Source organism: Homo sapiens, chromosome 1 (assembly GCF_000001405.40).
Source record: "Homo sapiens chromosome 1, GRCh38.p14 Primary Assembly".
NCBI classification, from domain to species: Eukaryota; Metazoa; Chordata; class Mammalia; order Primates; family Hominidae; genus Homo; species Homo sapiens.
The window spans coordinates 24,794,311-24,812,072 of NC_000001.11; the positions used below are offsets into that span (position 1 = coordinate 24,794,311).

Sequence of the window (17,762 nt, forward strand, 5' to 3'; positions counted from 1 at the left end):
CGTATAGTGTTCCCTTTTCTCTACAACTTTGCCAGCATCTGTTTTTTTTTTTTTTTTACTTTTTGAAAATAGCCATTCTGGTGTGAAATGGTATCTCACTGTGCTTTTGATTTGTTTTTCTCTAATGATCAGTGATATTGAACTTTTTTTCATATGCTTGTTGGGCCACATGTATGTCTTCTTTTGAAAAGTGTCTTCATGTCGGTTGCCCACATTTTAATGGGGTTGTTTTATATTTGTAATTTTGTTTAAGTTCCTTATGGATGCTGGATATTAGACCTTTGTCAGATGCATATTTTGCAAATATTTTCTCCCATTCAACCTGCATTCTGTAGGTTGTCTGTTTACTCTGTTGATAGTTTCTTCTGCTGTGCGGAAACTCTTAAGTTTAATTAGATCCTGTTTGTCAACTTTCGTTGCAATTGTTTTTGGCATCTTCGTCATGAAATCTTTGCCAGTTCCTATGTCCAGAATGGCACTGACTAGGTTGTCTTCCAGGGTTTTTATAGTTTTGGGTTTTACATTTAAGTCTTTAATCCATCTTGAGTTGATTTTTGTGTATGGTATAAGGAAGGAATCCAATTTTAATCTTCTGCATATGGTTAGCCAGTTATCCCAGCACCATTGATTGAATATGGAGTCTTTGACGTTGCTTGTTTTTGTCAGCTTTGTCGAAAATCAGATGGTTATAGGTGTGTGGCCTTATTTCTGGGCTGTACTTGAGGGTGGAGGATGGAAGGAGGGAGAGGATCAGAAATAACTATTGGGCTCTAGGCTTTGTACCTGGGTGATGAAATAATCTGTACAACAAACTCCTGTGACATGAGTTTACCTGTATAACAAACCTGCACATAATACCCCTGAACCTAAAATAAAAGTTAAAAACAATAGCAACAACCACCTTGGGGCATACATGATGGGACTATAAAAGATTTGTACCACTCTGATTTTAGGAAAATCTACCTCATCATTGCCATTCATTAAGTAGGATTAGAAATAGGTTATTATAAATATATCTTTTGCTATTTTCTTGCTCTCTGAAGGAATGTGTACAACAGGATATGGGCCGGGTATGGTGGTGCATGCCTGTAGTTTCAGCTACTGGGGAGGCTGAGGCGGGAGTATTTCTTAAGTCCACGAATTTGAAACTGCAGTATGCTGTGATTGTGCCTGTGAGTAACCACTGCACACCAGCCTGGGAAACATAGTAAGATCCTATCTCTAATTGAAAAAAAAAATAAAAAAAAAACAGGATATAGGATATTTATTTTTATTTTTGAAATGGAGTCTCACTTTGTCGCCCAGGCTGGAGTGCAGTGGCACGATCTCGGCTCACCGCAACCTCCACCTCCCGGGTTCAAGCAATTCTCCTGTCTCAGCCCCCCGGGTAGCTGGGATATAGGCATGCGCCACAACGCCTGGCTAATTTTTGTATTTTTCGTAGAGACGGAGTTTCACTATGTTGGTCAGGCTGGTCTCAAACTCCCGACCTTGTGATCTGCCCGCCTTGGCCTCCCAAAGTGCTGGGATTACAGGAGTCAGCCACTGCGCCCAGCCAGGATATGGGATGTTTATAATGAATTTTTTTTGGAGGCGGGTACACCTACAAGTTTCCCTTTTTACTTTGCCTTACGAAGAATACTGTCTGATAGAATGAAAAATGATTTTTACATTTCAGAAAACCCATAACAGACTTTGCCTTTGCCCTGAGGCAAGGGTTTATGTACCCCCTAGGAATTACTGTTCTGTCCAACATAGTAGCCATTAGTCATATGTGGCTATTTAAATTATGAAAACATATTGTTTATGTTTTAAATTATAAATTGTAGTCATGTGCTGCATATGCCAGGGGTCTCAAAAGATTGTAATTTGCTTTTATTTTTTATTTTTATTTTTTGAGATGGAGTCTTGCTCCTTCGCTAGGCTGGAGTGCAGTGGCACGATGTCGGCTCAGTAAAATCTCTGCCTCCCGGGTTCAAGCGATTCTCCTGCCTCAGCCTCGCAAGTAGCTGGGACTGCAGGCGCGTACCACCACGTCCAGCTAATTTTTTGTATTTTAGTAGAGGTGGGGTTTCACCATGTTGGCCAGGCTGGTCTCAAACTCCTGACCTCGTGATCTGCCCTCCTCGGCCTCCCAAAGTGCTGGGATTACAGGCGTGAGCCACTGCACCCAGCTTATAATTCGTATTTTTATTCTACTTTTTCTATGTTTAGATATGTCTTGATGTACAGATACTTACCATTATATTCCACTTGCCTACAGTATTCAGTACAGTAACATGCTGTACAGGTTTGTAGCCTAGGAGCAATAGGCTATACCATGTAGACTAGGTGTGTAGTAGGCTATCTCATCTAGGTTTGTGTCAGCATACCCTGTGATGCTTGTAAAATGCTAGAATCGCCTAACAGCACATTTTTTTCAGAATGTGTCCCTGTCAGTAAGTGATTCATGACTGTAATTTAAAATAAATGAAACAAAAAAATTCAGTTCACTTGAACTAGCCCCATTACATACTCCCTAGCCACATATTGCTAGTGGCTACCATATTGGACATTGGCAATATGGATCATCGCCATCATGCATTAAATTCTCTTGGGCAGTGCTATACTAGACTGGTCATTTTTATTTTTTATTTTATTTATTTATTTATTTTTTTTTTTTGAGACAGAGTCTCGCTCTGTCGCCCAGGCTGGAGTGCATGGCACGATCTCAGCACACTGCAACCTCTGTGTCCCGGGTTCAAGTGATTCTCCTGCCTCAGCCTTTTGAGTAGCTGGGACTACAGGCACCCACCACCACACCTGGCTAATTTTTTTATTTTTAGTAGAGATGGGGTTTCACCATATTGGCCAGGCTGGTCTCAAACTCCTGACCGTGTGATCCACCTGCCTCAGCCTCCCAAAGTGCTGGGATTACAGGTGTGTGCCACCACGCCTGGCCCTAGACTGATCATTTTTAAGAAAAGAAAGAGGCTAGCGCTAGCTGGGTGCAGTGGCTCATGCCTGTAATCCCAGCACTTTAGGAGGCTGAGGCAGGTGGATCACTTGAGCCCAGGAGTTCAAGACCAACCTGGATAACATGGTGAAACCCTGTCTCTACTAAAACTATTAAAAATTAGCCGGGATGGTGGTACGTGCCTGTAGCTCCAGCTGCTTGGGAGGCTAAGATGGGAGGTGAAGGTTGCAGTGAGCTGAGATCGCACCACTGCACTCCAGCCTGGGTGACAGAAGGAGACCCTGTCTCAAAAAAAGAAAAAAAAAAAAAAAGGCTAATGAAAGAACAAAATAATAAAGACCCAAATTTCTACTCTTCCTTCCACAATGTAACTTTTCCTGGCTTCTTGTACTCTTGATTAAAATTCAGAAAAAGTTATGTCATGTTGAGTATCATCACTTTGACCTTGTTTTTAATGTTTAATTCTGTTTTCCAGGCTGGCAGTGATGGTGAAAGCATAGGAAACTGCCCCTTTTCCCAGAGGCTCTTCATGATTCTTTGGCTCAAAGGAGTTGTATTTAGTGTGACGACTGTTGACCTGAAAAGGTAAGACATGGTCGCAGTTTGCAATCAACTTAAGCTGAACTATCTTTTCAGTTTGATCCTATTTTCACCTTGATGGCACATATTCTCTAAAGGAAATATATTGTATTAAAGTTCTGCTGGTTTATGGACAAACAACTTGTATATAACTATTTTGGACAAGTCACGCTGTCAGTATACTGCGTGGCTACTCAGTCTTTTTTAGGAACTTTTGTATGTTTACCTTAAATTTCATGAGTAGCACTAGGAGCTAAGTGTTAGTGTGGATGCAGTGAAATCCTTGACTTCTTTTTTCCAGTGTAAACATGGAGTCATGAAGAGCTTTCTAAGCAGACATCATCTTGGCCCCAAATGTGTTAAGCATGTGATCTTTATAATCTGGATCTTCAAAGACAAGGATTTTTAGGAGGTTGAATACCGTTGTTGTCAATTTCATTTAATTTATTTTTCAGAGAATAACAGTAATTTTCTATAGCATTTTAGCTATAATGCAAGTATTTTAATCATATTTGTTTAAATGTATTGTAAAATAAGAGCAATTATCTGTGGCCCGGTGTCTGTTCTTGCTAAGTGAAGAGTTGTTTGTAGGTTTCTCTCCTGGATGACTTTATGGCTTATTTTCCATAGTGGAGAGGGCTGAGAAGAGCCGTGATGAGTAGAAAGCTCTGTTTTATTCAGGAATGTCTATTCACCTTTAGCAAACAGGTCTGAGGTGAAGAACATTCATACATCCCCTTCCCCAAAAGATTTAAATCAAGGGTTAAGAATAGTTGTATTGCTCTTCCTCTCCCTCTCCCCACGGTGTCCCTCTCTTTCCACGGTCTCCCTCTCTTTCCACGGTCTCCCTCTCATGCGGAGCCGAAGCTGGACTGTACTGCCGCCATCTCGGCTCACTGCAACCTCCCTGCCTGATTCTCCTGCCTCAGCCTGCCGAGTGCCTGCGATTGCAGGCACGCGCCGCCACGCCTGACTGGTTTTGGTGGAGACGGGGTTTCGCTGTGTTGGCCGGGCAGGTCTCCAGCCCCTAACCGCGAGTGATCCGCCAGCCTCGGCCTCCCGAGGTGCCGGGATTGCAGACGGAGTCTGGTTCACTCAGTGCTCAATGGTGCCCAGGCTGGAGTGCAGTGGCGTGATCTCGGCTCGCTGCAACCTCCACCTCCCAGCCGTCTGCCTTGGCCTCCCAAAGTGCCGAGATTGCAGCCTCTGCCCGGCCGCCACCCCATCTGGGAAGTGAGGAGTGTCTCTGCCTGGCCGCGCATCGTCTGGGATGTGAGGAGCCCCTCTGCCTGGCTGCCTAGTCTGGAAAGTGAGGAGCGTCTCCGCCTGGCCGCCATCCCATCTAGGAAGTGAGGAGCGGCGCCTCTTCCCGGCTGCCATCACATCTAGGAAGTGAGGAGCGTCTCTGCCCGGCCGCCCATCGTCTGAGATGTGGGGAGCGCCTCTGCCCCGCCTCCCCATCTGGGATGTGAGGAGCGCCTCTGCCCGGCCGCAACCCCGTCTGGGAGGTGAGGAGCGTCTCTGTCCGGCCGCCCCGTCTGAGAAGTGAGGAGACCCTCTGCCTGGCAACCACCCCGTCTGAGAAGTGAGGAAGCCCCTCCGCCCGGCAGCTGCCCCGTCTGAGAAGTGAGGAGCCTCTCCACCCGGCAGCCACCCCATCTGGGAAGTGAGGAGCGTCTCCGCCCGGCAGCCCCCCCATCTGGGAAGTGAGGAGCGTCTCCGCCCGGCCAGCCGCCCCGTCGGGGAGGGAGGTGGGGGGGTCAGCCCCCCGCCCGGCCAGCCGCCCCGTCGGGGAGGGAGGTGGGGGGGGTCAGCCCCCCCGCCCGGCCAGCCGCCCCGTCCGGGAGGGAGGTGGGGGGGTCAGCCCCCCGCCCGGCCAGCCGCCCCGTCCGGGAGGGAGGTGGGGGGGTCAGCCCCCTGCCCGGCCAGCTGCCCCGTCTGGGAGGTGAGGGGCGCCTCTGCCCGGCCGCCCCTACTGGGAAGTGAGGAGCCCCTCTGCCCGGCCAGCCGCCCCGTCCGGGAGGGAGGTGGGGGGGGTCAGCCCCCCGCCCGGCCAGCCACCCCGTCCGGGGGGGGGGGTCAGCCCCCCCACCTGGCCAGCCGCCCCGTCTGGGAGGTGAGGGGCGCCTCTGCCCGGCCGCCCCTACTGGGAAGTGAGGAGCCCCTCTGCCCGGCCAGCCGCCCCGTCCGGGAGGGAGGTGGGGGGGTCAGCCCCCTGCCCGGCCAGCTGCCCCGTCTGGGAGGTGAGGGGCGCCTCTGCCCGGCCGCCCCTACTGGGAAGTGAGGAGCCCCTCTGCCCGGCCAGCCGCCCCGTCCGGGAGGGAGGTGGGGGGGGTCAGCCCCCCGCCCGGCCAGCCACCCCGTCCGGGGGGGGGGGTCAGCCCCCCCACCTGGCCAGCCGCCCCGTCTGGGAGGTGAGGGGCGCCTCTGCCCGGCCGCCCCTACTGGGAAGTGAGGAGCCCCTCTGCCCGGCCAGCCGCCCCGTCCGGGAGGGAGGTGGGGGGGTCAGCCCCCCACCCGGCCAGCCGCCCCGTCCGGGAGGGAGGTGGGGGGGTCAGCCCCCAGCCTGGCCAGCTGCCCCGTCTGGGAGGGAGGTGGAGGGGTCAGCCCCCTGCCCGGCCAGCCGCCCCGTCCGGGAGGTGAGGGGCGCCTCTGCCCGGCCGCCCCTACTGGGAAGTGAGGAGCCCCTCTGCCTGGCCACCACCCCGTCTGGGAGGTGTGCCCAACAGTTCATTGAGAATGGGCCAGGATGACAATGGCGGCTTTGTGGAATAGAAAGGCGGGAAAGGTGGGGAGAAGATTGAGAAATCGGATGGTTGCCGTGTCTGTGTAGAAAGAAGTAGACATGGGAGACTTTTCATTTTGTTCTGCACTAAGAAAAATTCTTCTGCCTTGGGATCTTGTTGGTCTGTGACCTTACCCCCAACCCTGTGCTCTCTGAAACGTGTGCTGTGTCCACTCAGGGTTAAATGGATTAAGGGTGGTGCAAGATGTGCTTTGCTAAACAGATGCTTGAAGGCAGCATGCTCGTTAAGAGTCATCACCACTCCCTAATCTCAAGTAATCAGGGACAAACACTGCGGAAGGCCGCAGGGTCCTCTGCCTAGGAAAACCAGAGACCTTTGTTCACTTGTTTATCTGCTGACCTTCCCTCCACTATTGTCCCATGACCCTGCCAAATCCCCCTCTGTGAGAAACACCCAAGAATTATCAATAAAAAAATAAATTAAAAAAAAAAAAAAGAATAGTTGTATTAATGGGAAAAACTAGGGTTTGGCAGTGGATTCCTCTTGATGCAAGTGTCACAACATGATTTGCTATTATACTGATTTTTAAAACTATTAGTCTGTTCTCACATTGCTATAAAGAACTACCTGAGACTGGGTAATTCATAAAGAAAAGAGGTTTAATTGACTGGCAGTTCTGCAGGTTGTACAGGAAACTTGTCTGGGGAGGCCTCAGGAGACTTACAAGTATGATAGAAGTCAAAGGGGAAGCAGACATGTCTTTCATGGCCGGAGAAGGAAGAAGAGAGAAGGGGGAGGTGTTACATATTTTTAAACAACCAGATCTTGTGAGAACTCACTCTCTGTCACAGGAACAGCAAGGGAAGTCTGCCCTTGTGATCCAGTCACCTCCCACAAGGCCCCTCTTCCACCATTGAAAATTACAATTTGATATGAGATTTGGGCAAGGACAGAAATTTAAACCATATTATATATCAAGTCATGAACAGTGTCCAGGAAAAGATATTGACAGCCTATCACTTGATAAAGTGGCAGAATTAATCTATGTTATCCCTCTGAGCATCACATGCTGATAGTTACCTGAGAGCTATAATTCCATTCCAAGTTCTAGGTTAGTGTACTCAGATTTCTGTCATTCCCTTAAAATACATTTTTACTTACTGCTAGTGCATATATTTGAAATTTTACAGACTTTAAAATTTATTGAACATAAGCCATAAAGTCATCAAGGAACCCCTTTAGTTATGTATATAAATGTAGAAATAAGCCTTTGGGAATAGTGAGTTAAAACTACAAGCTCTTGGGAAGACATTACCTTATTCATGTTGGGCAGAGATGTAAGAATGAAATAAGTCATGTAGTTACCCTTCTATTACTGTTTTTTTTTTATACATGTGTACACAAAGCAAGTTTCCCAATATAACTCCTAAAAATAGAGTGTGCCACCAGGCACACACCCTTACTGTGTCCTAAAATACATGAATTTCTCCTATTCCATTTTTGGCTTGGAGCAAGTGAGTTGACTGCCATTCTTTGAAAAAGCTGTCATTGAATAGTTTAATACAGTGCTTTAATTGTGATACATACCAGTAATAGTGCCATAAACATGGGAATCTGGGTCAGAAAAGGAAGTAAACCCATTATAGCTATTTCAGAGTTGTCTGTTTCTTTTCATTTGCAGATTTTTTAAAGGCATTATTCCTATAGGTTGATTGATATTTGCAGATTTGTATATATATGTTAAAGTGTGTATGTGGAAATATGTGTAAGTGTATATGTTAAGTGTTTATATATATAAAAAGTGGCGCATGGGAGGTAGGCATTCAGGGCCTTATAATTAGAAAATATCAAAGAAGATATATGTTTATTACCTAGGGCTTTATGTAAAATCAATGGTAGAGAGCACTTAAAATTGAAGCTTATATTTTTTGGTCTTTAACAATCATAGGTCTCCAGTAAATATAAAAAATGCTTCTTAGGGCAACTAAAACTAAGCAAGTAGTACGTGATAATGAGTCTGTACCATCCCTACCCCCTAGTCATCAACTTCCCCTTCAGAGAGATAATTTATTTTAGGTTTGGTCTTTATTCTTCCAAATCTTTTCCTTTTTTCTTTTTCTTTTTTTTTTTTTTTTGAGACACGGTCTGCCTCTGTCACCGAGGCTGGAGTGCAGTGGCACGATCACAGCTTACTCTGTAGCCTTGAGCTCCTGGGCTCAAGTAATCCTCCAGCCTCAGCCTCCCAAGTAGCTAGGACTACAGGCATTTACTGCCATACCTGGCTAATTTTTTATTTTTAAGAGACAGGGTCTCCCTGTGTTGCCCAGGCTGGTCTTGAACTCCTGGGCTCAAGCAGTCCTCTGGCCTTGGTCTCCCAAAGTGCTGGGATTACAGACTTTAGCCACTGTGCCTGGCCTCGTCCAAATCTTTTCTATGAGTTTACACACTTGCAGTCTTGAACAAAATTTTAAAGAGAAAGTACCTCAAGAAAGTGAGCATTGGTTCAAAAAACAAAAACAAACAACCCACCAGTATATATGAAAGTTATCACAGAGGAATAAAACATCCCTGTAGTACTTTTCATAATATATTCTTAATCTTAAAACATTAAATGTGACTCTTTTTAGAAATCTTGGGGGAGAAAATATGCCTACAGTGCTTATTTTCCTGCTTTTCCTGGTAATTGCCTAATATCTTGGTGAGAAGTACTGACTCCAGAACAAACCAGTGGAGAACAATAGAACTCCTCTGAGAGTTACTTAGCAGCTCACTCTATGATTTGAAAAAAATGATTGTTACATGACATTTCATCCATAAGAACAAGCCCATTTCTAGTTCTGGCACTGTATGACATGTTCTCTTTGAATCTCAGTTGGCATTAATGACTATGCTGGTAGTATTCATGTGTCCCTTGTGAGGCTGTGAACAATCTCCCATTACTTGCCTGCCAGAGCAGCCTTCGTGCTTTGGTGGGAGTCATTTCCAAATCTAATTTTCTGTTCATATTGCAATTTAAAGAACGTTTAGATAGAAAAAAAAGGGCCCAGGCTTCACAAAGAATTTCAATTTACATCAACGATTTGAACAAAAGCTTCAGATAATATAAGTGAAAATACTAAAATTGGGGCAGAGTTAAAGATGTTCTGGCATGTCATCAGTTGGGAAACAACCATGGCATAGTATAGAAAATTTCAGGAGTGAGACCTAGCTGTGTATGGAGAGAGCTCTATCACTGATTTCACTGGGACCTGGGGCGAGCTGCCTCATCTTCCTTGGAGTTAGTTACCTTATATTTAAAATCAGGAGAAAAGGGAAAAAAACTTCACTTTTGTAATAGTTTAAAATGTTACAATGGAACTATGAAACTGATAGTTCTGCATATCTTAAAAGGCAGTTAGAAACTCAGAAAAAAATCTGATTCCCAAATAGACTCTTCAGATAGTTTTATCTTCATGATCATGTCTCTGTGGTTCCACCTTTCTGAAAACAGTCTTCAGTAACTTAAGAAATCATTTCAACTTCCATGATCTTCAGTAGCAGCAGCATGAATGACACATGCCAAGAGACTAAATGGAATGAGATAAGCCTGTCTTTCAGAGACATCATCTATTTCCTGCTGCTGTCCAGACAGGAAAGTCAGACTCCATTTTTCCCCTTTGTAAAGTTGACTTGAGCTACATGAAGCACTTGTTAGAACAGTCCAATTCAAGATAATTGTGCTTTATGACTGCATTCAGAATCACATGTGTACCCACTGTGTGTGTGGGGGGTGTGTGTATGTGTGTGCATGTGTGTGGGTGGGTGGGTGGAGGGGGTGTGTGTGGGTAGGTGGGTGGTGGGGGTGTGTGTGTATGTGTGGGTGGGTGGGTGGTGGGGTGTGTGTAGGTGGGTTGGAGTGTGTGGGTTGAGGGTGTGTGTGTATGTGGGTGGGTGGGGGGATGTGTGTATGTGGGTGGGTGGGGGGATGTGTGTACGTGGGTGGGTGGGGATGTGTGTGTGTGTGTGATTGAGAGGGGAGGGAGATATAGACACACAGAGAGGGAGTATTTTGTTGCTATGTCTTTATGTTCTTTTTTAAGACGATTTCAAAGATGATACATCCTGTTGAGGCTGCTAAGAGCTGAATTAATAGAATTATTAGTGAATGTTTTTCTAAACCTGTTATCAGTATACACTTTACTCCTAAACTGTTATCAAGATGGTAAAAATTATAGACTCTATATTTGGGCCAGGCAAAGTGGCTCACTCTTGTAATCCCAGCGCTTTGAGAGGCCGGGGCAGGTGATCACTTGAGGTCAGGAGTTCAAGACCACCCTGGCCAACATGGTGAAATCCTGTCTCTACTAAAAATACAAAAATTAGTCGGGCATGGTGGTGAGTGCCTTAGTCCCAGCTACTCAGGAGGCTGAGGCAGGAGAATTGCTTGAATCCGGGAGGTGGAGGCAAATCACGCCACTGCACTCTAGCCTGGGCAACAGAGTGAGACTCCATGTCAAAAAAAAAAAAAAAAAAACACAAAAACAAAGACAAACGAATTATGGAATCCATATTTGAAATCTTTTCATGGGTACTATTTTTTTTGAAGTATTCCTCCACAGATTGACAATAAAATTGACATTAAAAGTAGACAGATTAACAATATTTAATCCAAATCAGTAAAATTCTTTAACTGGTTGAACTGGGACAAAGACAAATTCTTAGTGACAAGGGGTCTTGGTGTGTGTGTTTTGTTGAGTCCATGATTAATTTGTTCAATTAGTGACTTGACTATCAGTCAAACCAGAATATAGCAAATCTAGTAAAGAATAATTAATAGTAGTAAAGCGTTCTGAAACAAATAATTCTGGTTCTCTGGTGTTAACTTTTGTGAGGTTTTTTGTTGTTGTTGTTATATGTTTATATAGTGTCCAGTAGTGTCTTTGATATGTGTGAATTAATTTTATGCCCTGAAAATCAGCACCTTCAAAAAGGAACTCGATTTTTTTTTGTTATTGTTCTCTTTCTGGAGAAAAAAGGAGCTCCATTTAAAAGATAAGGCCTACATACCTAGTACTTTTTTCTTCGTTGGGCAAGTCAACTTGTTACAGATGGGTCATCTTCAAGAGCCAGCTCCGGTGTTCTCTAGCTATGCTGCACTCATTTCATACCAAGCAGCTGGAACTGAGTCACCAGCCCAGCTTCCTCCAATTGTTGCAATTGTACTGAACTACATTTTAATAGAAATTAAGCCACTCAAGTCTCTTAAAATATTAGCTCCTATAGGATTCCTCCTTTTCATTCGTTTCTTTTCCTTTTGGTTTTTGTTTTTATTTCCTTTTCTTCATCTAGAAAAAAAATGGGAAACAACAGAATAATTTATTTCATCTGAAAGACTACCATGATACATGAGGGTAAAAATAATACACCCCAAAACACTGGAGAATATTTGCACCCTGTTGCAAGGCATGAGTTCTGTGCACTTTGCTCTTGATGTCACGTAAGGGAAATATTTGAATGAGTTTTAATCAAGTGTTGAGTATTTACTGAAGGCCTTTTTGGAAGTAAACCAAAGATGTCTTGAAATTTTTTGCCATTGCCTATTGGCTCAGTTTCATTTATCTCAAACTGCAATTCTTACAGTGTTACATTTCTGTGAAACATCTGTAAAATGAGCCTTTGTGGGTCAAACAGAACACCTGAGGCCTGAGAGGGCAGGTGAGAACTGCAAGTTGAAGAATCTTAGATTCTGTTTTGTTGATACATAGCTTGTGAGTGAATCAGATTACTGTTTAGAACTTGTCCATTTATTTGAAGTCTACTAATACGTTTGAAGGCACTAAAGTTTCTTCTCAGATTCTTCATTTGGAATCAGGACCTGCCATGGTTGTCTGTCATCTCAACAGTTAATCCTTGGAAACAGTTTTATCGCTTTATTTATTTAAAAAAATATATATATAGCCTTTCAACCAAAACAAGATAGACTATTCACTAATCACAAATATTAATGGAAAATTGGTAATCATATGTCCTTTAAACTTTCCTTGGTTGTATATATGACTCTAAATTAATCAGATTTTGTTTATTACCAATCAGTTAATGCTAGGTAACCATTTATGAACCATCAGCTCTATTAAAGTTAAAACTGCCAATCTGATTTCCTGCATAATGCTTTGTTAATATGATACTAAAAGTGGTAATGGCTTTCATTTGCATACTTTTAGTTCACTTTCACGTGCCTTATTTGATTTAATCTTTACAGACAAAGCAGATCTTATAAAGAGGAAATCCAGACCCAAAGAGGTTGTAATTTACTTAGTCATGTAGCTGGTAAATGGTAGAGCTTTTCCATTTGGGACTTCAAGCCAGTCCCTTTTCTTCAGCCTTGGTTCTTTTTTCTCTGATACGCTAGTTTTCTCCCTCTCCCAATAAATATTTTTATTTGGGAGCCGGGTGCAGTGGCGTGCTCTCTAGTCCCAGCTACTTGCAGCTGAGGATCATTTGAGACCAGGAGTTTGAGGACAGCCTGGGCAACATAGCAAGAGAGAGAGACCCCCATCTCTAAAAAAAAAGAAAATTGAATAAAAATTTAAAAAATTAAGAATCTTTCTGTTTAGAGAGCTTAAAAACTTTCATAATTAATTATAGAAGTAATAGGTGTTATTTATTTTGTCCCACATGCCCTACCCGACCTACCCCTTTGGGTTTGTTTTTTTTTTTTAAAGCATTGAGACTGTTACAAATAAATTTTTGGTGCTGCAAAAGAAATAACACTTGAATATAAAATTTTCTTTTTAATTCTCAGCAAGGCAAGTTACTTCTATAGAAGGGTGCGCTCTTACACATGGAGCAATGGTGAGCACACACTTGGATAAGGTAGGGGAAGGGGTTTTTATCCCTGACTCACGTGGCCCCTGCTGCTGTGTCTTTCCCCTATTGGCTAGGGTTAGACCGCACAGACTAAAGTAATTCTGATTGGCTAATTTAAAGAGAGTCACCGGGTGAGTGGTTTGGCCAGAAAAATGGTTATGACAGAGCAGGTAATTGGAATGAGTCAGGGTGGAGCAGGTAATCGAAAATGGTCACTTTATGAGGAAGTTAAATTTAAAAGCAGAAGGTGAGGAATTGAACATACTGACATATTGATTATTTGAAAAGAAATTTAGAACTCATATCTAACAAGACCTTCTTCCCCTTTATCTAATCTACCGTGTTCTTAAAAAAAACTGTTTGTGAAAAACAGACTTATATTATTAACTTACAGTTAGGCATTTAATTGACTGTTCATTATAAAAATGTTAATGGATATGTTTTATGAATTTGGAGTGAGAAAATTGTTTTCCAGGTAATCACAATTTATATATGACAAGATTAAAAAACATTCCTTTTTTTTTTTTTTGAGATGGAATTTTGCTCTTGTTGCCCAGGCTGGAATGCAATGGCACAATCTCAGCTCACTGCAACCTTCACCTCCCGGATTCAAGCAATTCTCCTTCCTCAGCCTCCTAACTGGGATTACAGGCGTGCGCCACTATGCCTGGCTAATTTTGTATTTTTAGTAGAGATGGTGTTTCGCCATGTTGGCCAGGCTGGGCTGGAACTCCTGACCTCAGCTGATCCGCCCGCCTTGGCCTGCCAAGGTGCTGAGATTATAGACATGAGCCACTGTGCCCGGTCTACAGTCATCTCTTGGTATCCATGGGGGATTGGTTCAAGGACCCCTGGTGGATACCAAAATCCACAGATGCTCAAGTTTCTTATATAAAATGGAATAGTATTTGCATATTAACCTACAAATAGCCTCCCATATACTTTAAATCATCTCTAGGTTATAATACCTAATACAGTGTAAATGCTATGTAAGTTGTCATTACACTGTGTTTAGGGAATAATGACAAGAAAAAGTCTGTACATGTTCAGTACAACTGCAACCGCCCCCGCCCCCGCCCTGCCGCCCTTTTTTTTGAGACAGGGTCTCATTCTGTCGCCCAGGCTGGAGTACAGTGTGTGATCATGGCTCGCCTCAGCCTTCCAAGTAGTATGTGCAACACGCCTGGCTAATTTTTGTATTTTTTGTAGAGATGGGAGATCTATCTATCTATCTATAAAATTTTTTTTTTTTTTTTGAGATGGAGTCTCACTCTGTCACCCAGGCTGGAGTGCAGTGGCGCGATCTCGGCTCACTGCAACCTCCGCCTCTCGGGTTCAAGCGATTCTCCTGCCTTAGCCTCCCAAGTAGCTAGGACTACAGGCACCCACCACCACGCCTGACTAATTTTTTTTATTTTTAGTAGAGACAGGGTTTCACAATGTCGGCCAGGCTGGTCTCAAACTCCCGACCTCAAGTGATCTGCATGCCTCGGCCTCCCAAAGTGTTGGGATTACAGACGTGAGCCACTGCACATGGCCTTTTAAAAAATATTTTTGATCCTCAGTTGGTTGAATCCACAGATGCTGAACCCATGAATAAGGAGGGCTGACTTATTTCATTTTGTGAAAAACTTGAGCTTGTCAGACTAAAGAATGTTCAGTGAAAGCATCAGAGTTGAAAATCAAATCAGGTTTTGACTTTTAAAAGTCCTCTTTTGGAGGTTAGGTTCTTACAGAAGTTGATAGGAAATATGTCTTATTTTTCTTTGTTTAGGAAGCAAGATAGGCTCTAGAACTTGGACTTTGAGTTAAAAATTTTAAATTAATGAGATAATTAAATAAATCTTTGTTTCTTTGGTTGGAATGTAGTCATAGAAACCTGAGGCTTTCTAACCTAAATTGAAAGATGGAGCCAGAGAGAGAATATGAATAAGACCAAGGGAAATTGATAGATTATAAACTGGTTATAGATTTTTGATTCCCCTCTATCTTGAAAATTCTGATGACGAAGTATTTCACTTTCATGATATATTTAAAAATACTATTTTTGGAGACAGAGTCTCACTCTGTCGCCCAGGCTGAAGTGCAGTGGTGCAATCTCAGCTCACTGTAACCTCCGCCTTCCAGCAATTCTGCCTCAGCCTCCCGAGTAGCTGGGACTATAGGCATGCACTACTACACCCAGCTAATTTTTATATTTTTAGTAGAGATGGGGTTTCATCATGTTGCCCAGGTTGGTCTCAAACTCCTGACCTCAGGTGATCCACCCGCTTCGGCCTCACAAAGTGCTGGGATTACAAGCATGAGCCACCATGCCCAGCCAATATTCTTTATTTTATTCAAATTCTGTGCATTTATGGTCAGGAAGGAAGGAAGAAGGAAGGCAGGCAGGCTAACTTAATAACAAGATAAACAGCTCTGGGCTATAATAGGAGGCAGAAACATTCTTTGAAACTATATGTTGTTGTATTACTTTTCTTGAAGTACACATTTTTATGTTTGCTTTTATAATTATGAAAGTTTTCAAACATGCATAAGAATAGAATAAACTTCTCCGTAAACCCAATTCAGTTATCAAGATCTTGCCACATTTGCTTTGCCCCTTTTTTCTGATTTTCTTTGCTGAAATGTTTTAAAGTAAATGCTAGACATCATGTCGTTTCATCCCTACTTAATTCAGTGTATGTCTTCAAACAATGTGGACATTTTCTTCCCTAACCACAATGCTCTGATCTCCTGAAGTTCCTAGTATACAATTTGGGATTTCCCTGGTTATCTCTAAAATATCTTTTTATTTTTGGTTGGTTTGTTCAAATCAGTATCCAAGTAATTTCTACTTTTTATGTTTGATTGTTATATCTCTTAAGTTTTTCTTAATCTATAACAGTCCCCCACCTGTGTCTGGTAAAAATACCATTCAGCTGAAAGGTAGATTGTCCCAAATCCAGAATTTAGCAGTTGCTTCCTTGTGGTAGCATTTAACTTTGTCCTCTCATTTTCCCCCTCCCTGCATTTCCTGTAAATAATCTCAGGACCCCTTTGTACTCTTAAATTATTGAAGGCCTCAAACAGCTTTCAGTTATGTGGGTTATATCTACCTATTTTACTATATTAGAAATTAAAGTTGAGAAATTAGCCTAGGCAATATGGTGAGATCCTCATCTCTACAAAAAATTTTTTAAAAATTAGCTGGGCTTGATGGAGTGTGCCTCTGGTCCCAGCTGCTTGGGAGGCTGAGGTAGGAGAATTGCTTGAGCCTAGGAAATCAAGGCTGCAGGGAACCATGATTGTGACACTGCACTCCTGCTTTGGTGACTGGTCTCAAAAAAAAAAAATCCTGAGAAATTTTAAAAATGTTTATTTATGGCCGGGTACGGTGGCTCACACCTGTAATCCCAGCACTTTGGGAGGCCGAGGTGGGCGGATCATGAGGTCAGGAGACCATCCTGACTAACATGGTGAAACCCTGTCTCTACTAAAAAATACATCAAAAATTAGCTGGGCTTGGTGTGCGCCTGTAGTCCCAGCTACTTGGGAGGCTGAGGCAGGAGAATGGCGTGAACTTGGGAGATGGAGCTTGTAGTGAGCCGAGATCGCACCACTGCACTTCAGCCTGGGCGACAGAGTGAGACTCTGTCTCAGGAAAAAAAAAAAAAATCATTTACTAATTCATTAAATATAGAACAATAATGAACCCACTACTTATTACCATAAAACATTTTTAATGTAAAACAACTATATTTCCCAAAACAAAAAATAGTGAGAAGAGTGGCATTCTTTTACATTTTTGCACATCTTAGAAGAGGTTTCTCGTGTCTGCTTCTGCATTCATTACCTTGTGATATCTTGTACCAAGTAGCCAAGTAAATTTGGAAAATTTTACTATATGTGCACGAGAGGAGAATGAGAGTGAAAAAGGCAAATGATGCCTTAGTATTATAAGAATAGTTCTGACCTAATGGATCACCTGGTGAAAGGGTCTCCTGGCTTACAATTTGAGAAACAGCTGCCCCAGAGGCTGCTTTGTTTTGGTTTGTTGTTGTTGTTGTTTTGAGACAGGGTCTCACTCTGTTGCCCAGGCTGAAGTGCAGTGATATGATCACTGTTCACTGCAGCCTCGACCGCCTGGGCTCAACCAATCCTCCCATCTCAGCCTCCCAAGTAGCTGGGACTACAGGCACATGCCACCACACCCAGCTAATTAAAAAAAATTTTTTTATAGAGATGGGATCTCACTATGTTGCCCAGGCTGGTCTCGCTTGAACTCCTGGACTCAAGCAATCCTCCTGCCTTGGCCTCTCAAAGTGCTAATGTTACAGGTATGAGCCACTGCACCCAGCCTGCCCCAGAGGCTTGATTAGATTCAGGGTCAACTTCTTTGGTAAGAATACTTCATGGTGCCATAGGAAACACACCATATCTGGTCATCTCATTTTTTGATCCTAAAATTCATTGGTGGGTTTGGGTGAGCCATTTTGCTTTTTTAACAAGATAGTACAAACACTTCTTGCTGTTAGTAGTTGTCAGCATAACAGTTTCACCATCTTTATCAGTGTTTTGTGGTGTTTTCAATTTTTCCTAATCAACAGGAGGAAGACATCTTATTGTTTACTTTTAAATTCCCTTTATAGTTG

At 43.3% G+C, this 17,762-nt stretch overlaps 1 protein-coding gene across 1 annotated transcript in view; it reads left to right on the forward strand.

Moving 5' to 3' along the window:
- CLIC4 (chloride intracellular channel 4) overlaps positions 1 to 17,762 on the forward strand; it is a 98,875-nt gene that overhangs the window by 48,864 nt on the left and 32,249 nt on the right. Inside the window, exon 2 of the mRNA NM_013943.3 lies at positions 3,432 to 3,541. Coding sequence (NP_039234.1) covers positions 3,432 to 3,541 — 110 coding nt within the window. The remainder of the gene's footprint in view (positions 1 to 3,431; positions 3,542 to 17,762) is intronic.